The 21,954-nt window shown below is 39.5% G+C and overlaps 1 long non-coding RNA gene across 2 annotated transcripts in view, besides 1 other annotated feature; it reads left to right on the forward strand.

Moving 5' to 3' along the window:
- LOC105370733 (uncharacterized) overlaps window positions 1-21,954 on the forward strand; it is a 440,742-nt gene that overhangs the window by 381,315 nt on the left and 37,473 nt on the right. The window contains exon 2 of one of the 2 annotated variants that reach the window (XR_007064536.1): window positions 8,472-8,633. The exons of the other annotated variant lie outside the window; for it this stretch is intronic. This is a non-coding gene — a long non-coding RNA (uncharacterized LOC105370733). The remainder of the gene's footprint in view (window positions 1-8,471; window positions 8,634-21,954) is intronic. 2 annotated transcript variants of the gene reach the window in all.
- Window positions 3,209-3,709: an enhancer, noted in NCBI's record as "H3K4me1 hESC enhancer chr15:24731350-24731850 (GRCh37/hg19 assembly coordinates)". NCBI's record gives its function as "activates a minimal SCP1, AML or CMV promoter by ChIP-STARR-seq in naive H9 embryonic stem cells {active_cell/tissue: H9 hESC(naive)}" and the evidence as "EXISTENCE:reporter gene assay evidence [ECO:0000049][PMID:30033119]".

The raw sequence follows: 21,954 nt of genomic DNA on the forward strand, positions 1-21,954 counted from the left end.
AGTGTCCTTTATTATTAATCTCATAGCGTGAAACATTTGTCAGAATTAACCAACCAATCTCATGTATTGTCATTGAGTACTATACATACTTTATTCTCATTTTTTAGTTTTTGCTTAATGTTAAGATTATGTTTTAGGATCTCTTCTAGGATAAGTCGTCACATTTAGATATTATGGCTTCATAGGCTCCATTGAATGTGATAGTTTCTCAGCGTTTCCTTGTTTTTCATGCCATTGACGTTTCTAATTTGGGATTTCTCTGCTGTTTCTCTCATGATGAGACTGGACTTCTGGGCTTAAGGGAGGAAGAATATAGATGAAAAGTACCATTCCTATCACATAATATCCAGGGCACAAGCTGTCAACAGGCTTTATCACTGTTGATGTTAATTTGATCACCTGGATAAAAATCTTTTCATTCTAAAAATCTCTTCCGTAAAATTATTCTTTTTCTCCCTTTTCATGTTGTGTGCATAAAGAAAAGTCACTATATACAACAAACACTCAGTACTTGGAGAATCATACACCACTGCTTTTTCTTTGAAATAAATTTATTAAAATTTCAATAGCTTTGGGATTACATGTAGTTTTTGGTTAAATGCATGAATTGTACAGTGGTGAAGTCTGGGGCTTTTAGCATACCTGTCACCCGAATAGTGTACATTTTACCTCATAGGTAATTTTTTATCCCTCACTCACCTCCAACCCTCCTCCTTTCAGAATCTTTAATGTCCATGATCCCCCTCTGCATGCTCCTGCATATCCATTGCTTACCCCAAACTTGTAAGTGAGAACCTGCGGTATTTGGTTTTCTGCTCCTGAGTTATTTCAATTGTGATAATGGCAAAATTGCTTTGAAAAAACATTATTTTGTTCTTTTATATGGCTGAGTAGTATTCTGTAATATACATACATACATACACACACACACACACACACACACACACACACACACATTTTCTTTATCCACTAATTGGTTGATGGGCACTTAGATTGATTTCGTATTTTTGCAATTGTGAATTGTGCTGTGATAAACCTAGAAGTGTAAGTGTCTTTTTGATAGAATGACTGTGTGTGTGTGTGTGTGTGTGTGTGTGTGTGTGTGAGAGAGAGAGAGAGAGAGAGAGAGAGAGAGACAGGGTCTCACTTTGTCCTACAGGCTGGAGAGCAGTGGCCCAATCTCATCTCACTGCAACCACTGCCTCCTGGGTTCAAGGAATTCTTGTGCCTCAGCCGCTGAGGAGCTGGGACTGCAGGTGTGACACACCTGGCTAATTTTTGTATTTTTAGTAAAAATGGGGTTTTGCCTTGTTGGCCAGGCTGGTCTGGAACTCCTGGGCTCAAGTGATCCACCTGCACTGAGACAGTGAAAGAGATCTAACCTAACCGACTCCGTCTTGCTTCTAACCTTTTAAGCAGCCCTTGTTCCTTCCTGGGCAAAGTTAAACTAACTTTGGGAGGAACTTACTTTACAGCTTATAGTTTAAAACAAAGACAATAACAGTCCTTTCTCAAACCTCTTTCTTACCTAGGGCCTATACTGCCTTTGTATGACTAACAAATTAGCCACATGATTAGAAATTATGGCTTAGGAGTCATGCAGCTGGAGGCTACAAGATTCTGACCCTCCCTAAACTGCTCCAAAGATCAGTGCTTGAGGTATTTTGCAGCCCCTGCACTTGATGGATCAGCTGGCACAACCCTGGTGGATAAACTGCCTGATCTGATCTTGTGGCCTCCACCTAGGAACTGAGTCAGCATACGAGGACAGCTTGGACTCCCTGTGATTCCATCTATGATGTGACCAATCAGAACTCCAAACTCACTGGCCTTCCCCCACCCACCAAATTATCCTTTAAAACACTGATACCTGAATGTCCTGGGAGACTGATTTGAGTAATAATAAAACTCCTCCAGTCTCCTACACAGTTGGCTTTCTGTGAATTACTCTTTGTCTATTGCAATTTTCCTGTCTTGATAAATCAACTCTTTTAGGCAGCAGGCAAGGTGAATCCATTGGGTGGTTACACTGTGTGTCATTTTCAGCATAGACTGTCTTCTTGAACATAGGTTTATTTTGTCCCACCCCAACCCCCAAAAGATGTGGCTAGGAAAAGAAAAAAAAAAGGTCCCAACATCTTTTCTTTTTCCTTCTGGATCTCTTTTCTGGAAGCAGGGCGTCAGTGACAGGAACATTTTGACCCCAGCTCTTAGTCCCTCTTAGGTCTGTGGAAGCCTCAGAAGGCGTGGCCAGGCCAGGGCATCCTGGCTGAGCACAGGGTTTGGCACCTCCTCCCTCCCTGGCAATATGCAGACAACTCTGAGTACTGAAAGATGAAACTAACACACCTCAAGGAAGGATACGTACCTCGATGCATGCCACAGAGACACACTTCCAGGATCTTTTTAAGATCTTACCCATGTTTTGCAAGGAAAAGCAACACAGAACTGAAGTGCCTTCAGTTATTTCAGGTGGGGCTGTCTTGTACAGGGCAGTCAGGGAGAGAGACTGGAAGGTAAGGGGAGGGGACAGCCAGTCCTTCCAGTTAGCAAAGTTCAGGCTCACTGACTGCTTCCAACTCACTGCTCACTCACTGCTTCTTAGATTAGGATACCCTGGGAATCAGCTACAATAACCTCAGACAAGGAACCGTAAAAACCTGAAATGCACATTGGGTGCCAGCCAACAACGAAGCTTGGCTTCCAAGACAAAAAGTTGCTCTTTCTCCTCCTGCTACCTTGGATGTGCCAGGTTGTAATTTGTAAATGTATTGTCTGGCCCTTAGGGGTTGGCAGCTAACGATTGGTTGCAGAAGGAGCCTGGCCTAGGAGTGAGAGAGATGCCAGCACAAGAGAAGCCCACTGACTGTAAGCCAGGAAGTGGGCTGTCTCCAGACACCAAACCTGCTGGCGCCTTGATCTGGGACCTCCCAGTCTCCAGACTCCTCAGGGCCACTGTCATCTTGTGAAGCAATCACCACATGTTCCCATCACAGCTGATGGTGGCAACTAACCCATGCAGAGTACTGAAATGAGCCAGGCTCTGTCTGCCGTCTCGTGTGTAATCACCTAGTTATTCCTGGCAGCAGTCCTGGGTTCTCTGCATTTCCAGAGTGCAAGTCCTCCAGTAACCACTGAAATGCTTTCTCAGGAGTTGTTGTCAACTCCTTAAAAACATTTCTCCCTACTTGGCACAGAGCACAGTGACACCAGAAACAGCCTTCTCTGGACCCCAGCCCTGGCAATGGCCATGTCACTTCCCTCAGGCCCAGGAAGAAGGCAGGCTCTGGTCTCCCGCTGGGCAGCAACACCTACCTTAACCCGGATTTCTCACTTGGGTGAACTCTTGGATCACCGTGCCCAGTCTGACGGAGTCTGCAGCAGATGCAATAAGGGCTTTGGGGCCGGGAAGTGGAGCTCACCCATGTGCCAAGCCTGAGGTCGGGCACCCCTCCTTCACACCATCTGTGGGGACTTCCTCCCTTCCCCAGCGGAACGCCACAGAGAACCGACCTGATGGTGCCAAGAGGGCGAATTTCCCCCAGGTCCTCTGAAATATATTGTCACGATTTGTAACAGGAAGCCGAGTGAGGAGCATAAAGTGCTTCCAGAGACTAGGTGATGGGCCACATCCCTGGCCGGCGTGTTGAGCCCCTGAACCAAAGTCTCTGCGACCACCACCTTTGCCTGTCTGCCCCAGTTTTCTGAGCATGTGCTCTGCATACACTTGTGTGCCAGGCCGCCAGCCACTCTCGCCTGTACTCCCCCAGCCCCAGCGGAGCTGCCACAGGCGCCTTCTGCTCACCAGGTGGAATTTACCTTTTATCCTGTGCAGCAGGCTGCAGAACGCGCCCCTCCGCTCCCTCTCTGTGGGGCTGCAAGGGGTCGGGTCCACCACCGAGGCTGCCTTTATGGAGAACCCTGCACTTGTCCCGAGCCTGAAACCCCCGAATTGCAGGGTCCAGGAAGACTGGAGGTGGGGACTGATAGAATGACTTCTTTTCATTTGGGTCCATGCCCAGTGGTGGGATTGCTAGATTGAATGGTAGCTCTGCTTTTAAAAGTTCATTGAGAAATCTCCATACTGTTTACCATACAGGTTGTACTAATTTACATTCCCACCAAGGGTGTCTAAGCATTCCCTTTTCACCTCATCCACACCAATGTCTATCATTTATTGACTTTTTCATAATGGTCCTTCTGACTAGGGTAAGATTGGTATCGCATTATGGTGTTAATTTGCATTCCCTGATGATCAGTGATGTTGAGCATTTTTTTTTCATATGTTTGCTGGCCATTTGTGTATCTTCTTTTGCCTGTTCATGTCATCTCCCCACTTTTTAATGGGGTTATTTATTTTTTTCTTGCTGATTTGTTTGTGTTTCTTGTAGATTCTGGGTTAGTCCTTTGTTGGATGGACAGTTTCCAAATATTTTCTCCCATTCTGTAGGTTGTTTCTTTATTCCGTCGATTATTTCTTTTGCTGTGCAGAAGCTTTTCAGTTTCGCTAAGTCCCATTTATTTGTTTTTGTTTATGTTGTAGTTGCTTTCGGGGTCTTAGGTTTGTCTAGGCCAATGTCTTTACGGTTTCATGTCTTACATTTAAGTCTTTAATCCATCTTGAGTTAATTTTTATATATGGTGACAGATATGGATCCAGTTTCATTCTTCCGCATGTGGCTATCTTATTTTCCCAGCACCTTTTGTTGAATGGGGTGTTCATTCATCAGTTATGTTTTTGTCTGTTCTGTTGAAAATCAGTTAATCGTAAGTATTTGGCTTCATTTCTGGGGTCTCTGTTCTGTTCCTCTGGTCTGTATGTCTACATTTATACCAGTATCATGTTAATATGCCGGCAGATGTTGTAATGGACTGTGTTGATTGACCTTGGACCAGAAGGTGGCAATTGCAGGAGAGAGCCAGATGCAGTCATGGTGGTGGGATTTATGCTTAACCTTTGTTACCCAGGGGAAGTAGTCAGCTGATGGGAAGTGACACGGAATTCTAAGAAGTCCCTGTTCCTATTCTGCTACTAGGACAGGTAGAGGGGCAAAGCCGAGTGTGGGCTGGGTCAGGACAGTCCATACTCTGCCTCTCCAAGTGTGAGTGTAAGCAGAAGCCACAATGGGGGTCAGTGGACAGTTCCCTGACCACTGGGATAGTGTTCCAGGGAGGAGAACACCCTCTGCCACATGAGAGTCTGTACGGAGAGAGGGGTAGCAAGTGGCAGGTCAATTCCCATGACCTTGACACAGAAGGTCTTACACATGCAGACCTCTGCTGGCAAACACCCACAATAGCCAGCTAAGTCCCAGGCAGTCTAGGCTGAGAACACAAACCTGCCCCAGGCTGCAAGACTTCCCACTGGAGACTGAAACTGAAACGGTAGCTCTGAGGCCACACCCCTTGATTTGACATGTGAAGCAGCAGTACCCAGCTCCCATGACCCTGGCACAAGAAAGCTTCCTGCATGCCCCTTGGTTCGGGCCTTAAGGGGTTCATCCGCTGCTCAATATTAGATCAAATACAAATCTTAGTTGGTCAGCTTCTCCCTCAGTTGGGAGCTTCTTTCAGTGCGTGACTGCTGCCTGGGTTACTTCGCTGATTTCTGCAAGATCTTCTATGAATCAGGGTCAGGAATATCTTCCTTCTGTGCCTGCTGGGATCTGGGAGTGCACACGCAGCACACCCAGGTGCCACTCCTTCTTTCATGGTCCCCTCCTCTGTAAGTCAGCTCCAGTGCTGGGCAGGGTTAAGGCACTTCCCTGTGACCTGGACTGCCTGGTTCCCCAGTGGGAATGTATCACAGAGAGAGTCTCCCCCTTTCGCACTCTGAAGCCTCAATTTCCCATCTGACACATGGTGCAAGTTGCTGCCTGCTGCTCCTTTCAAAGTATCCAAAGGTTCTTTCACTTCTTCTGTTGAGTTCCTGTGATTGTTGGATACAAATTCACAGTGTGAATCTCTAGACACTATTTTGCTCTTTCTAAGCAGGTGAGGCACACTAACAAAGTCTCCAATCTGCCATCTTGAAAAAAAAAAACAAACAAAACAAAAAATGCTCCACTTTATGAGCAGAATGTTTACCAAAAGTTATTTGGACCTTTCATCCTGAAAGTGTCTATTCTCCTCCAATAATCGTTATATTTATGCAGTCATTTTTGTCAGTATGCAAACATGGATATTTGTTTTACTCTTTCCTTCTACTACTTCATTTATTTGTTTAAATTGTTGCAGTGTTGGCTATTGGAAGGTCTTTCAGTTGGATCGTTTGTCATTTTGAAACACTACCATAATGAAGCTTTGCTATTGTTATGTGGTTGGTTAGTTGTTTGCTCTGTTGTTTGGCGTTTTATTTTTTCTGGCACTACTAGGTGCTTAAGCTAATTGTGTGGATTTCCTCACAAGCCTGGTATTAACCATTTTTTCCACAGAGCCCTAGTTCTTCTTATTGGAAAATTGAATGAGAAATGGAGATCTGGGCTCTTGACATATTCATTGCTCCTGGGGCATCTGTTGATTCGTGATCTTGTGTGCTGACAGAGCAAATACATCTATGTACACTGATTCACACACACACACACAGAAACACACACACACACACAAATATTTTCTCATATATCTGTATCTTTAAGTTAAACATGAATTCCTAATAATCCTCCAGCACCCCATGATCTAATCCAGTACCACGTGAATCACTGCACCTATTCCCGCTTACTTGTGTGTAGCCTACCACACTAACAGTGATAAAGATGCTTCTGTTATTTAATCACATAATCCAAAAGACTTGTATAAGTGGTTTCAGAATTAGAAATGTATATGGCCATGAGAAAGAACTTTACCAACTAAAGTTTTTAGGGATAAATCTTTACCCTTTAGACTCAGAATATCCACTTACTTGCTACGTTCCTTGGGTCAGCTGCTTTCCCCCCTCCATTCAGTGAGGTTATTTCACTGATGTGTTATTTAATTCTATTATGTGTATAGCCCCATGCTATCTGCTACCTACTGTAGAAGGGTTTTAATTTCTATATTTTAAGTTCACTTTTTGTATTACAAAGTTATTTAGGATTTGTAAAATATAATCACGTATTTATCATTACAGTATGATACCAGAATAATTTCACTGCCTAGAGCAAATCTGCTGTACCTCACCAATTTGGCCTGCCTCTTTTCCAAGCTCCTAGTAAATACCAAACATTTTATTATCTCTATGCTTTTTCACATTGCAGAGTGTCACATAACCGAAACCACACAAAGTATTTTGCCTTTTTAAATTTACTTTTTTTTTGCAATATACCCTTTAGATTTGTGAAATGTATCTCATGGTTGTTTAGAGTTGCATTTTCCTAATGACAAAAGACTTAGGCCTCATATCATGTGCTTACTAGATGTGACTATAGTATCTTTGGATACATGTCTATTCAGATAGTTCACCAATTTGATTGTGATATTTGCCTTTTTATTTTGAGTTGTAAAATATTTTATATATTGTGGCTAATATATTCTTTTCTGCTATGTGATTGTGAAGATTTTCTTCTATTCTTTGTGTTATCTTTTCACTTTTAATTATGTACTTTGAATCTCAGAAATTTTTAATTCTTACAAAGTTAAATATATTCATTTTTTAATTTCCTTTTCTTGGGCTTTAAGTATCATATCTTAGAAATTATAGGAGTTATTGTTTAAGCTAAGACCCAAATTATGTATTTCTATATTATCTTCTAAGGGTTTGGTCTATTTAGCTCTTACATTTGGATATATGATTACTTTGAGCCAATTATGTATATGGTGTGAGTGAGAAGTTCAACTTCCTTGTGGATATTCAATTGTCCTAGCAACATTTGTTAAAATATATTTTTCCATATTGAATTGGCTTGGCAGACTTATAAAATCATTTGACTATAAAGGTAAAGATTAATTTTTGGACATTCAATTCTACCATATTCCTTTGATCTGTATGTCCAAGTTTATGCTATTATTGAGCCTTTAAATTAAATTATGATGATACTGAGTTTTTCATGGATGCCCTTTAAAATAAAGAAACTTTCCTTATAGGCTTAATTTGTTGTATACTGTTATCAAAAATGGATTTTAGATTTGTCAGGTGCCTTTCCTGCATCTTTTGAGATGATCATATGGCTTTTGTTTTTTATTTTATTCTTATAGGTCATGACACTAATTATTTTGTATGTTGAACCAAATTTGCATTCCTGGGACAAATACCATTGGTGATGGTGTATAATTCTTTTTACATTTGCTGATTTGTATTGCTAGCATTTTATTGAAGACATTTACCCTCTATTTATAAAAGATATTGGTCTTAATTTTTCTTTCTTGAGATGTCTTGCTTTAGTTTTAATATCAGTGTAAACTAATAGTATACATCAGGAAGTGATCTCTTCTCCACTTTTACTGTTGTTTAAGTTTTTATGAAGAGTTTGTGATAGATTGTTATTAATTATTTTCAGGTTTAGAATAGTTCACCAGTGAAGTCATCTCAACCAGCACAGGGCCTTGACTCCTAACAACAATCACACGAACTTGGAAGAGGAGCCTTCCCCAACTGAACCTTCGCTTGAGACCTCGTCCTTGGCCATCCTCTACATCTGGATTCATGATACAGAGAAACTGTGAGTAAGAGCCACTCAGTGTGTGAGAATTTATTATTCAGCAGTAAATAATACACCTGACAGTCAATGCAATGTGGTATCCTGGACAGAAAAATGACATTACTTAAAAGCCTAGTAAAATATGGAAAAAGCCTATACTTCAATAAATAGTTTTGTGCCAACTGTTTTTTAGGGCTCATGGTTACATAATCTATTACATTGCATGTAATTCAAAGATATCTAAAGCTTTCTGTAGTATCTTTGCATATTTCTGTGTATTTAAAATTATTTCAAAGAAAAAATGTTTTTGAAAAAAGCATTAAATGTGATATGAAAATAATCTCAAAGCACAAACAGAATACCTTCAGCTCAGGAGATGAAAGGGCACGTAGAGAGAGAATAGCAAAGCATCTTTCCATATTGATTTACCAACTCGAACACAGGTACACTTGCTTCAGGAAGATCCCCCCAAGTTCCAGAGACTCATCCTCTTTCATCTTCTTCATCATATTCCGCATTTTTCACTCACCAGTTTTAGCATCTGGTGCTAACTACGTAACCAGTTTTTGAAAGACAGATGCCTATTACTCGCATGTCTCAAAAAGCCCCATTTTCAGATATAATTTAGCAGGACTCCAACAAACAGACCAGAATTTATTGAGAGCTTGCAGTGAGGAGTGCCTTAATTCCAACACGACTATGTTGACAACACATCCTCTTGTGAGTGAAGCATTCATACAGAATGAGTCGTTGAAACTCAATAACATATGCCTACTGTACAAGAAAGGTAATAATCAATATAATGCTCTAAAATTATTCTGGGGACATAGGGGACATTTGTCCAAGATTTATGAGATGTGAGCAACCAAGAGAGCGTGAACACTGATATTTAACAAGTGCTCCAAATCAGTAGATGGGCATTTGATTTTCCAGTTAGGGCTGCAGTCAGGGTCTCTTAGCTTCAATACTATACACAGAGAATTTCAATGACAGATCTTGATTAAAATAACAATAATAACAACCCCTCATTTTTATATTGCAGCCTGGCACCATTTAACTTAATTTTACTGCATAAAAATAGCAATCCTATACTCCATGCAAACTAGAATGGCAGTGGAATTTATGTAGTGAAGAAAGTGACAAATTATTTTCCAAATATAAAGCAAACTTAAGGTTTTATAGGGAAATAAATGGGGGTAAAAATATTTTAATCCTTATTTTTCTGATAATTGTGTTCTGCTCTTATAAATAGAAAGCTGCACTTTCATTATTTTATAATATAGTGAGTTTATCAGCCACCTGTATGAAAATTGTATAGTAAGAGTAGGTATGTGTCCACTTGGTTGGTTCATTCGACTTATACACATCATTTACTTTATCTCGAATGGTTATTTTTTAAGCCTTGGTTTTGCTACAACATGTAAAGGTGTCCATCTTTTTGCAATATTAAATCTTCATTCAAGTGACTTTTCTTTGTTTCTTTGCCTATGTATCTGCGTTGCTCCTGTACTTCTGTGAACCATATTTCAGTGAGTAATGATGACACTAGCAGTCCAGCCTGCATGGATGCTGACATGGATGCTGTCTCCCATTCTTACCACTGGATGGGAAGAAATGCTAGATGCAATCCAGCCAGTCTGTACTCGACTGTCAGTTCCATCTTCTCAACTCACAGTGTCTTCCAAAGTCCGTGCCACACCACAGCCTGGAACATCTCCCAAGGTGGTATATTCAGGCAATGGTAGAGCTCATGTCACGCTATTGTATGTCTCAGGTATCACTGTCCTTCACTGTTTTATATATTCTCTCTTACAAATCATTGTTCCATACACTTTGCCTCTTTTGTGTTTGTTTATACATGTGTTATGACATGTCTAAACCTCACAGTGAGGATATTAGAATTGGGTTCTTCATATCTAGAGGTGTGGATCATTGGGAAGCATCTTAGAACCTACCTGCCACATCAGGCCCTGTCTAATCTGTATCAGTTTCTGGGTCTTCACTTATTTTTTTGCCCTTGATCTTAGTGAAAAGAACTTGTCAGGTGTTCCATAGGATGTATCACAATATGGATTTGTTATTTTTTTTTCATAATTTGAGTAAGAATAAACATTAATTTATACACGTATTTGTCTAATGTTGAAGACAAAAAAATACCTGCACAATATATTATTTAGAAATACAAATATAGAAAATAATAATGAAGAGTGAGGCTGGGCATGGTGGCTCATGCCTGTAATCCCAGCAATTTGGGAAGCTCAGGTGGGTAGATCACTTGAGGCCAGGAGTTTGAGCCCAGCCTAAGTAACATGGTGAAACCCTATCTCTACTAAAAATACAGAAATTAGCCGGGTGTGGTGGTGCATGCCTGAATGTTTCATATATTCTGGATAATAGTCTCCTAACAGTTATATGACTTGAGAATATCTTCTTCCATTATTTCAGTTGTCTTGATGGTGTACGTTGCATCTTAAAAGGTATTGATCCACATGAAGTTCAATGTATCTATTTTTTTTTCTGTCACTTTTACTTTTGTGTCACATGTTAGAATCCATTGTTTCATGTAAGGCCATGAAAATCTATTTTTATGTTCTCTTCTGTGGGATTTTTAGTTTTAGCTCTTACATTTAGCCACATATTCTGAGTCAAATACATATATGGTGCAGGAAACAGTTTAACTTGCTGTGGATATCCCTTTCTCCCAGCAACATTTGTTGAAAAACTATTTTTTCATGTTGAATTAATTTTTCAACCTTGAAAATAAGTTTGCCCTATATATAAAGATTGATTTTGGGGTGCTCAACTCTATTCTGTTGGCTTATATGTCTTTCCTCATGTTATGTGAGTTTTCCATGGATGCTCTTTGTAGGTTTAGAAAGTTTTCTTCTATGCCTAATTTTCCCAGAGCTTTTATCATGAATGGGTTTGGAATTTGTCAAATGCTTATTCTGTATCTTTAGAGGTGACCGACCATGAGTCTTTTTAAAAAATTCTATTAGTATAGTTTATAACACCAATTGTTTTTATATGTTTAACCAGACTTACATTGCAGGGATAAATAGTTTTGTTCCTAGTGTATACTCCTTTTTATATGTTACTAATTAATTTTGATAATATTTCCTTGATACTTTTTACCTGTTTCACATTGGTCTATAATTTTCTTTTCTTGAAATGTCTTTGTCTAGCTGTGGTGTCAGGGAACACTGGCTTCATACATTGCATTAGGAAAAGTTCTCTACTCGTCTGTTTTTATTGATTGTTATTAATTCCCAAAAGGCTTTGAATAACTCACCAGTGAAGTCTTCTTGACCTGGACAGAAATTGAATCCTCCCAAGAATCCCAGGAGCTTGGAAGGGGATCCTTCCCCAGATGAGCCTTCCCTTGAAATCTCTGCCAGGCATCTGACCCAGCGACCCATTTCTATCTTCCTTCTCCATGGGATCTTTGAGCCATAATTTATAAAATCACCTCTACATCTCTTGTATTTTTGTTATGTCTAATAATCTCTTGAGGTCTCTCTAGGGACAGTGACTATAAATTATCACCCTGCCCAACAGGACTCCAGGAAACTGTGTCCTGGATGTTTACAGTGTGCCTCTCCTGGGATACTTATTTATCCTGATGGATACCCCAAAGCATAAGTGTACAATCTTTGACCCAGCATCCTTCTCACAGGATATTTGTTTATACTGTCAGACACCCTTGTGGCACTTGTTCGACCTGTGTCCACTCCATTCCCACCAATGTAGCCACTGTCTAGGAGAGCTCTGAGTTCGAGAAAAGTTGAGCTCACATGTGTTGGTCATGTGAGCCACGGAGGAGGCAACTCAACAAAGCACAGGTATTTCTTGCAGGTGGGGATCGTTGGGCACCATTGCAGGGTCTAACTGACACATTAGGTCTTCTCCAATCTGCAAGTTTCATAGTCTTCACTTCTTTTTCTTGACCTTGACCCTGTTGAAATGTACAGGTCAGATATTTTGTAAGATATCCCACAGTATGGATTTGTCTCATGATTTCTCATGATTAAATTAGGGACATGTATACATTAAACACATGTCATCTAAGTTTGAAGACAAGAAAAACTAAACATCATAGATATTAGAAATATAAACATAGAGATAAATATAACAAGCACAAATTAGAGGATAACAAATAAATTCACAGTAATAGTTACCTTCAGTGATTAAGGAAGATGATGAAGCTAAGGAGATCCATTAATGGCTATCAACATATTGCTCATGTTCTATTTTATGAGGTCAGCAGTGACTTTAAATAAAAAGAAACTTTATACATTTAAGAATCGTTTAGGATTTACAGAATTGTTTTAAATATATAACATAGACTTTCCATATATCCCACTACAGTTGCTCTTTTTATTAACTTCTTAATGTAGGACATTTGTCACAATTAACCAATTTTAAACAGTATCATTATCCACTCTTCATACTTTATTCAGATTTTCTTAGTTTTCACTTAATGTCTAATTTCTATTCCAGGACCTTGTCCAAGATACCTCAGCACAGTTAAATATCACGTCTCCTTAGATTTCTCTGACTGTTGCAGTTTCTTAGCGTTTCCTAGTTTTTGATGGCATTGACATTCCTAATGTGGGATTTCTTTTTAGGTTTTTTTTCATGATGAGACTAGATTTGTGGGTTTAGGGGAGGAAGATGACAGAGGAAAGGTGCCATTCTCCTCACATCATACCAAGGGCACAGGCTCTCAACAGGCTTTATCACTGTTAATGTTAATTTGATCACCTAGATGAGGTCATTTTTATCAAATTGTCACACACGGTGAAATTATTATTTTTCCCTTTCCCCATAGAATGTTTCAGAACAAAGTCACTAACACAACACACATTTAAGAAGTGGGGAGTCATGGGCTAAGCATGATGGCTCACGCCTGTAATCCCAGCACTGTGGGAGGCTGAGACAGGCAGATCATCTGAGGTCAGGAGTTCGAGACCAGTCTGGCCAACATGGCGAAAGCTCGTGTCTATTAAAAATGCAAAAATTAGCTAGGCACAGTGCACACGCCTGTACTCCCAGCTACTCGGGAGGCTGAGGCAGGAAAATCACTTGAACTTGGGAGGCAGAGTTTGCAGTGAGCTGAGATCACGCCACTGCACTCCAGCCTGGGCAACAGAGCGAGACTCCAGACTCCATCTCAAAAAAAAAAAAAAAAGTGGGGATTCACGATCTACCTTTTTATTGGCAGAATGTCTACAAATTTATTTGAACTCTCAACTGTAAGCGTGTCTATTCTACTACACATTTATTCATTTATACATAAATTATTTATGTCATCATCTAAACATGGATATTTATTTTATACTTTACATAAGCCACTGTGCCTGGCCCAGAGCCTCTTCTTTTAGCCATGGTACTTCTCTATAATGAAGTAAAAAATGTAACAACCTGCATGTCTTGCACCTACACCAATACTTTCAGCTGTACCTTAAATAAAGCTGTAGGTGTAGAACTTTTTTAAAAAAAATAAATTTTAATTTTTTTTTTGACAGGATCTTGCTCTTACACCTGGGCTGGAGTACAGTGGCAAGATCTTGGCTCACTGGAGCCTCGACTTCTGGGCTTAAGCGATCCTCCCACCTCACTTTCCCAAGTAGCTAGGATCACAGGTGCACAACTCCATGCCCAGTTAGATTTTTTTTGTTGTTGTATTTTTTGTAGAGATGGGGTTTCACCTTGTTGCCCAGGCTGATCTCCAATTCCCAATTTCAAGCAATTCACCCACCTCAGCCTCCTGAAGTGCTGGGATTACAGGCGGGAGCCACTGCACCCGGCTGGTTTAGAACTTAGAACGTTGCTGTAGACTCTTAAATCCCTTAATATCCTTGTGAATCTGAGACAATCCCCCAACACCACTCCCCACTTTATGTATAAATACTTTCAACAACAGCCAGTAATATTGAAAACCTTGAGATGCACCCATAGTAACCTCCTGCACTGGTGTAGATTCCCCTGTGACAGGTTGTTTCTCCTCCAGACCATGCCCACCAAAGTCAAAGCCACATGGGAGCCTCTGAGCTCAGAGCCACTGTATGGGGTCTCCATGCACAAGGGCAGCAGCTCCCTGTCCTTTCTGTTGGTGAGGTGGGGAATTCAGTTCTTTTGAATAAGGCTGAGTTTATTCAATACTGATTCTGCTGGCTGACGAGTGATACCTTAAGACTTTATTTCTTGCATTGTAATATTTATCCTGGTTTTGATATGATTTGTTGTGCAAATGTGTTTAACACTTGGGTATATTTTTTTTCTTTTTTTGTTCTCATAAACATTATCTAAAACCAAATTTTTATTTTTGTGTTGTGTGTTTAAGGTCTTTAGTCCTCTGTTTTAAAAATGCATTCACAATTATTTTTCAATGAACACTTTTAAATATTTTAATCTTTTCTCGTATTTCTCTCTCCTAAACTGAATGTGAATATCACTTTTATTAGAAAAGACAGATGTTACACATTCTCTATGTTTTTGTGCAAATTTTCTCTGAAATATCTCTGGTTGAAAAGGAGAAGGACAGAAACTGTTCTGGAAGCCACAAGGCAAAATTGGCTCAGATCCTTATGCTTAAAAAGATGTGTAAAACTTTCCATTATATGGCTTAGTTTGCTGTACATGTGGAAGGTTAACAAGGCATTGATTTGTGTAGCAGTCACGTCTGAATACAAGGAGCAACCATTTCTTAACTGTGCAGGTGTGAACTTCATGATGTTGCTTTATCTTCTCCTTATACAAAGATTTAGACAATGGCTGGACTCCATAATTCCTTCCACCTCACTTCCATAAATGTCTACATGACATTTCTTTTTACAGATCACCTATTCTATTAGATATTAATTTTTCTTATTTTTCATGAGTGATTATTAAATTTGGTTTTAGTTCTCAGAGATATAAAAAATACCACTTAGAAAATGTGTACATTGAGTGCTGTAATCAGAAAATACTTTTGTGCCATTGACTTGTAAAAAGGGAATTTCAATTTTTTATTTATTGTCATTTTCCTCTACCTTAATATTCTCAAAAAGCTTTCATGCTTATGCTCTTTTTTAATTTTAATTTTTGTTGTCTTAGTCAAAAAACATGCGAGGGTTGGGAATACTTGTTCAAGATGTGTGAGACATGAGCAATCAACAGAGAAAAATACTGGTATTTTATGGGAATATGTAATAATAGATGGGCACTTGCCCTGCTAGGTATGGCAGCAGTCAGGGTCTGTGGGCTTCAGTGCTGTACACAGAATTGACAGATCCTGCTTTAAGGAAAAAAGTGCCCCTCATCTATCGTATCACAGCCTGGCACCATTTTGTTACGAAACCCAGGTTTGGCCATGGCCACTTCCAAAATCAAGTAACAGAAGGGTAGTAAAAAGAAAGTCACTGGCCGGGCGCGGTGGCTCACATCTGTAATCCCAGCACTTTGGGAGGCCGAGGCGGGATGATCACCTGAGGTCAGCATTTCAAGACCAGCCTGGCCAACATGGCGAAACCCTCTCTGTACTAAAAATACATAAATTAGCCGAGCACAGTGGCATGTGCCTGTAATCCCAGCTACTGGGGGACAGAGCGAGACTCCGTCTCCAAAAAACAAAAAGAAAGTCACTTTATTCCCGAGCTTAGCAATGTGGAAGGGCGGGATTCATATCTAAAGGAACCATATAAGTTTTCTGGGCAGAAAACAGGATTTTAAGAAGAAATATTGGCAAGCAGGGCATGCAGAAGGGGTGTGGAGGTGCAGGACCTATATGACTTGCTGGATGACTTATCTCTAGTCTTGGGTGATTCGTTAGCCTGCCCAGCATCACTGGGGAAAGAGTCAGGTTGTGGATTAACTGAGGTCTTGAGACCATCTCTGTATGGAGGAGAATTCTGGCGGATGCTTGTTTTGGTTCAAGATTTGGTAATTTGTAAGCAAACATATACTTAGCTAAGCTGACAGTGCGTGCTGGTGGTTTGGCTGGTGGAAAAGAAGGACGGAAAAGTTTGAATTTGCATTTCTAAGGAGCTAAGTAAGACATGAACACACAGGAAAAAGAGAAAAAGTACATATTTTTTAAGGAAAATGAAGTACTTGGTTACAACACCCCACTGTCACATTCCACTTTATTTTTATTCAATTGGAGCATCATACTCACTTGGTCTGCTTCCTACTGAAAGGGGGCATAGTTATAGAGCATTAGAATGAAATCTGTTTACTTGGAGTTGGAAATATTCTTGAGTTTTCAGCAGGAACTTACTGTGCATGTATGGTGTGAGGATCCAAGAATTTCTGAGAATGATTTCCTGCATCTCCATGCAGAGTGTACAACAGCAATAAAATTCATAGCAGCTGAAGAGGGCATTTAGCAGTATTAATAATATATATAAAAGTATTTGATGCACCAAGAAGCCGACTAAATCATGAAGTCATAGAGTCCTGAGAGAGGGCATCTTTAACAGAAATATGGGTATCTACATGCATAGCTTGGGTTATATTGTGAGAATAATCTGGTGTGTGTGTGTGTGTGTGTGTATGTGTATAAAATGGTCAGTCTTAATGAATGCACAAGTGCCACCCTGGGCTACAGTGAAGATATCTAAAGCCATATGATTTAAAGACATCCTGAGATTAGACATAGCATTAGTTTGCTTGTGCATGTCTTTTAGGGCTGAGGATATGTTTCTAGAATTATCCAGGAAGTCCACACAGCATTTAGTCTTAATTATAGTGCAAAGCCCCAAATGCCAGTTGTACCCAGAGCTCCTGTGGAGGTATGAGGACAAGTCGGTTAACTATACATACTTAACAGGCTACAGGAGGAGTTGCAAATATTCATGAAGGTGGTGCTGACCTATGTTTATTAACAAATATCCATGGAACATGCAACTCATTTATTTTGGGGCAGGGACTTAACTTTTAAATGTATTATAATTATGCCCTATATTTCAAAAGTTCTTTTGAAGACAAAGGCATGCAAGTGTGCATTTACTGTAAACCGGCCAAAACTAGCTTATGGTGAGTGATCTTTTATCAGGAGAAAATTACTGAAATTGGTCTCTTGTCTACTTCAATCTGTAGTTATGGCTGGTGGAACGTGGCTGGGGTCAGTCAGTCAGCTTATCTTGAGGCTAGTGCTTGCTTGGCTGCTAGAGAAACACAAACCTTGTGGCAGCTGTAAACATAGTCTGCTTTTTTTAAACTGTAGGGATGTGAGACTTAACTCTTGCCTGGCATGTTCTTAAGTCCTGTTCATAATTTGGTATTTTATTGTTATAGTCTGTTTTACAGTTTTTATTGTAATGTTAATGCTGATCAGTTGTGCATAAATTCCCACGATGGGAGCAAGGTATAGTGAAGCCTGTTCATCACCCCTCTGGTTGTCATGGCCTGAATTAGTTTTTTAGATTGCCTTGGCTAACATGGGGGTAGGGAGTGTCCATTAAGTTGATGGGGGCTTAGGACTTTATTTTGTAGTTTATATTCTCCTTTTTTGTCAAGGTATGCCAGAGGCAGTATGGGTAGCCACACTTTTATTTTCTCTCATGTCAATGGCAGAGCGGCGTGCTACCTGACCTGTGTCCATCATGTTCCTTAGTGGGACCACTATGGCCAAGGGACTTAGAATCAAAAGTCTTATATCCAATTATATCCAATTCCAGTCTGTAGGCCAGACTGGAATGAATGTGGGCAGGCAGACATTAGTCCTTAAAACCCCTTTTAAGCAATGTAAGAGCCAAAAACTAAAAGTCAAAAGGTAAGGTTATATAACTGCATTGTCTCTGAATTTTATGCATTGAGCTGTTGTAATCTTGGCTTATAGGAACTATAGCTATACAAAACATAAGTATTTTATTTAGCTGTTTAGGCATCTGTATGCCCATCCTTTATTTGGGGGGTCTGAATTAATTTTATTCCACAAGAACCAGCCCTTACAATCTCATGCATTCGTATATTCCATGATAGTCCCTGGGTCTGGAGAAACTGAACAGTTTTAAGTTCTGGATATATTAATAAAACAAAATATTCACCATTAACAACATTTTAAGCAAAAATGCTGTAAGCCTTGTCTTGTTTTAAGAGTGACAGGACTGAGATGGGCAGATCACGAGGTCAGGAGATCGAGACCATCCCGGCCAACACGGTAAAACCCCGTCTCTACTAAAATACAAAAAAATAGCTGGGTGTGATGGTGGGTGCCTGTAGTCCTAGCTACTCGGTAAGCTGAGACAGGGAAATTGCTTGAACCCGGGAGGCAGAGATTGCAGTGAGCCAAGATCGTGCCACTGCACTCCAGCCTGCGCAAGAGAGGGAGACTCCATCTCAAAAAAAAAGAATGAGTGACAGGAAAGGAAGCCTATAGATAGATAAACATTTCAGTTATTTAATATTAAGGCACAGAATAAATTATATTTCATATATTTCTATTTCAGATAGAAGGAAAATTATTAAATAAAGTTTAATACAGGCCTGTCCCTGTGTTGCATGAAAGCAGTGTACTTTATTGCCTTTGCTTGAGTCTAAAGATGAGGCTTTGGTTAAGTTGAGTTTGGTGTTAGATGCTGGCAGGAGTCTGTGTCTTCTTTAGAGGAGCTACATGTATCCAGGAGTCAATTCCTTGAACCTTAACACCACAAAGATTACTTAATAGCACCTGATAAGAACTTTTTCAGGGTGTTGGAGGTGGTGACACACTTCACAGTGATTAATATTTTTTAGCTTTGATAAGCCCCAGCAAGAAGTCAGAGACTTAATTTAGGATTCAATTTTGGAGATGTCTGTGAAAGATGTGAGAAAGCTTAAAATATTTGATCAAAACTGAACCACAGGTCCTTGTAAATCAATAGTTATTCATTTAACCAAAGTGATCACTGAAAGACTTTAAAGGCAATAGAAAAAGTTACACGGGTATAAAATCCTTACTCCTTTCAAATTTCAGGAGATTTTAAAAAGCAATTAAACACTTAATAAAGGCAGCATAGGAACTATCTTGATAAAACGTAAAATCTTGTTTCTTAAGCCAGTTACCAAAAAGTCAAAGGAAAACCTTTTTTAGTGTGACTGCCTCTCCTTAGAAGAAAGCCCATTTAGATAATCTGGAAGTACAACTTAAGATAAAAAGCGCTTGAATTTAATCAAACATGGGAAGAGTGTGTACAAGGTTTTGAATAGAACTGGGGAATACATGACTCTTAGTAGCTGCATGATAAGTTTCCTGATTACAGTGAAAATTTAGACACACCAAAAACAACAACCAAAAAAAAAAAACCCAAGAGCATAGAATCAGGTTATCCTGGAGGAAAACATTTCTTTTATAGACCTCTAAGATAAAATATTTCAGCATCAGCCACAACAACATTTAGAAGTAAGGAGAAAAGTTGCAGGAGCTGACAAGAAGCTGAAGGATAGAGTTATCATCCCAGGCCACATCAAAGGGAGAAAAAGCTGATAGCAGCAAGACAACAATTGAACATTTGAGATATGAATCTCAGAAGTTTTCAAAAAAAGTAGATTATAGAATAGAAAATTAAAATTTATTGTAATTTTATTAAGAGTAAATTGATGAGCAAGACTCTGTTTCAACAACAACAAAAAAGCAGCCATTATTTAATTATATTTTCATAAGCATAAGATATATATAGATATGTGTATATATATATATACATATAAGTAAAATGAAAGATAGGAAAGAGGGACAAAAGGAAAAATACAGGAAAAAGGAAGAAATAGGACTATTCTTTTATAAGATGGATACACTACTTCTGAGGCTGTATACTTTTATGTGAAAGGAGCTTAGATTAGTTGTAAATATAAATTGCCACCTCTAGGGCAGGATACTGGATGAGGAGCCTCAGGTTTTTGCTGTCTGTGGCCAGAAGCTGCATTCAGTTATTTCCCATGTTGGCTTCTCTCCCATGGCAGAATGTGTCATGAAAACCACCATGACAGAGAGCTTGCAGCAAGACAGGTATCATAATCTTAGGTAACATGATGACCCAAGTGACATCCTGTCAGGTTGTAGTCTTCTGATGTATCATAGCAAGTTTCAGGTTCTCCCCAAAGTCACAAGGAAAGGATTAGATATTCTAATTAAGCTGTGAGGATCATTGTGCACCATCTTAGAGTTCACCTGCCAACGTCAGGTCTTGCTTAATCTGGGACAGGTTCTCAGTCCTCACTTTGTGAGAAAGCAGGTCACATATTTTGTAAAATGTATCAAAATTTTGATTTCTCTGAATGTTTCTCATAATTTTACTGAGCAGTATAGATAGAGACATGTAATTATCTATTTGTGAAGACAAGAAACAGCAAACAGGACATTATTTACAAATACAAATTTAGAGACCAAAACTAAGAAAGAAAAATTTGTGAATGGGAAAAGGAAAATTAAACATAATAGTAATGTTCACCAAGGTAACAAGAAGGGTGGGAATGGGGAGGTGAGCACCTGGGACACTACGAGATCGACAATGTTCTGCTTAGTAAGCTCAATAGTGTAATTTTTAAAATATATATATTTTATTTATTTTTAAATCTATTTTAGAATAGTTTGGATTTGCAGAATAGTTACAAGTACATACAGAGAGTTTATATATGTTCAACACATAATTTCCCTTTTATAAATTCTTACATTCATTGCAGACATTTGTCGCAATTGATGAACCAGTATTATACATTATCATTCAGCAACATTCACAATTAATCAGATGTTCTGTTTTCACCTAATGTCCATATTCTGTTCCAGGATTCCGCCCAGGACACCACATCACATTTAGGTATCATGTGCCAGTTTCTCAGATTTTCCTTATTTCTGATATCGTTGAAATCCTTTGGGATGTCTCTGGTGTTTTCCTAATGATTGGATGACTGTTGTGAATTTAGCAGAGGAAACCCACAGAGGGAAACTTTTATTCTCATGATATTATAACAAGAGTACATAGTGTCAACATGCTGTATCAGTTTTTTTTTTTTTTTTTGAGACAGGGTCTCATTCTGTTGCTCAGGCCGGAGTGCAGTGGCGTGAACAAAGCTTGCTGCAGCCTGGAATTCTTGGGCTTGAATGATCCTCCACCTCATCCTCTTGAGTAGATGGGACTACAGGCATGTGCCACCACTCTGGATGATTTAATTTTACTTTTACATTTGTAGAGGCAGAGTCTCACTACATTGCCCAGGCTGGTCTCTAAGTCCTGGCCCCAAGCGATCATCTCACCTCAGGCTCCCAAAGTGCTGGGATTACAGGTGTGAGCCACTGTGCCCAGCTGCTTTGTCATGGTTAATGTTATTTGATCACATGGATGAGGCAGTTTAGCTCAGTTTTGTCCACTATAATATCGGGCGA

This window comes from Homo sapiens, chromosome 15 (assembly GCF_000001405.40).
Source record: "Homo sapiens chromosome 15, GRCh38.p14 Primary Assembly".
Lineage (NCBI taxonomy): Eukaryota > Metazoa > Chordata > Mammalia > Primates > Hominidae > Homo > Homo sapiens.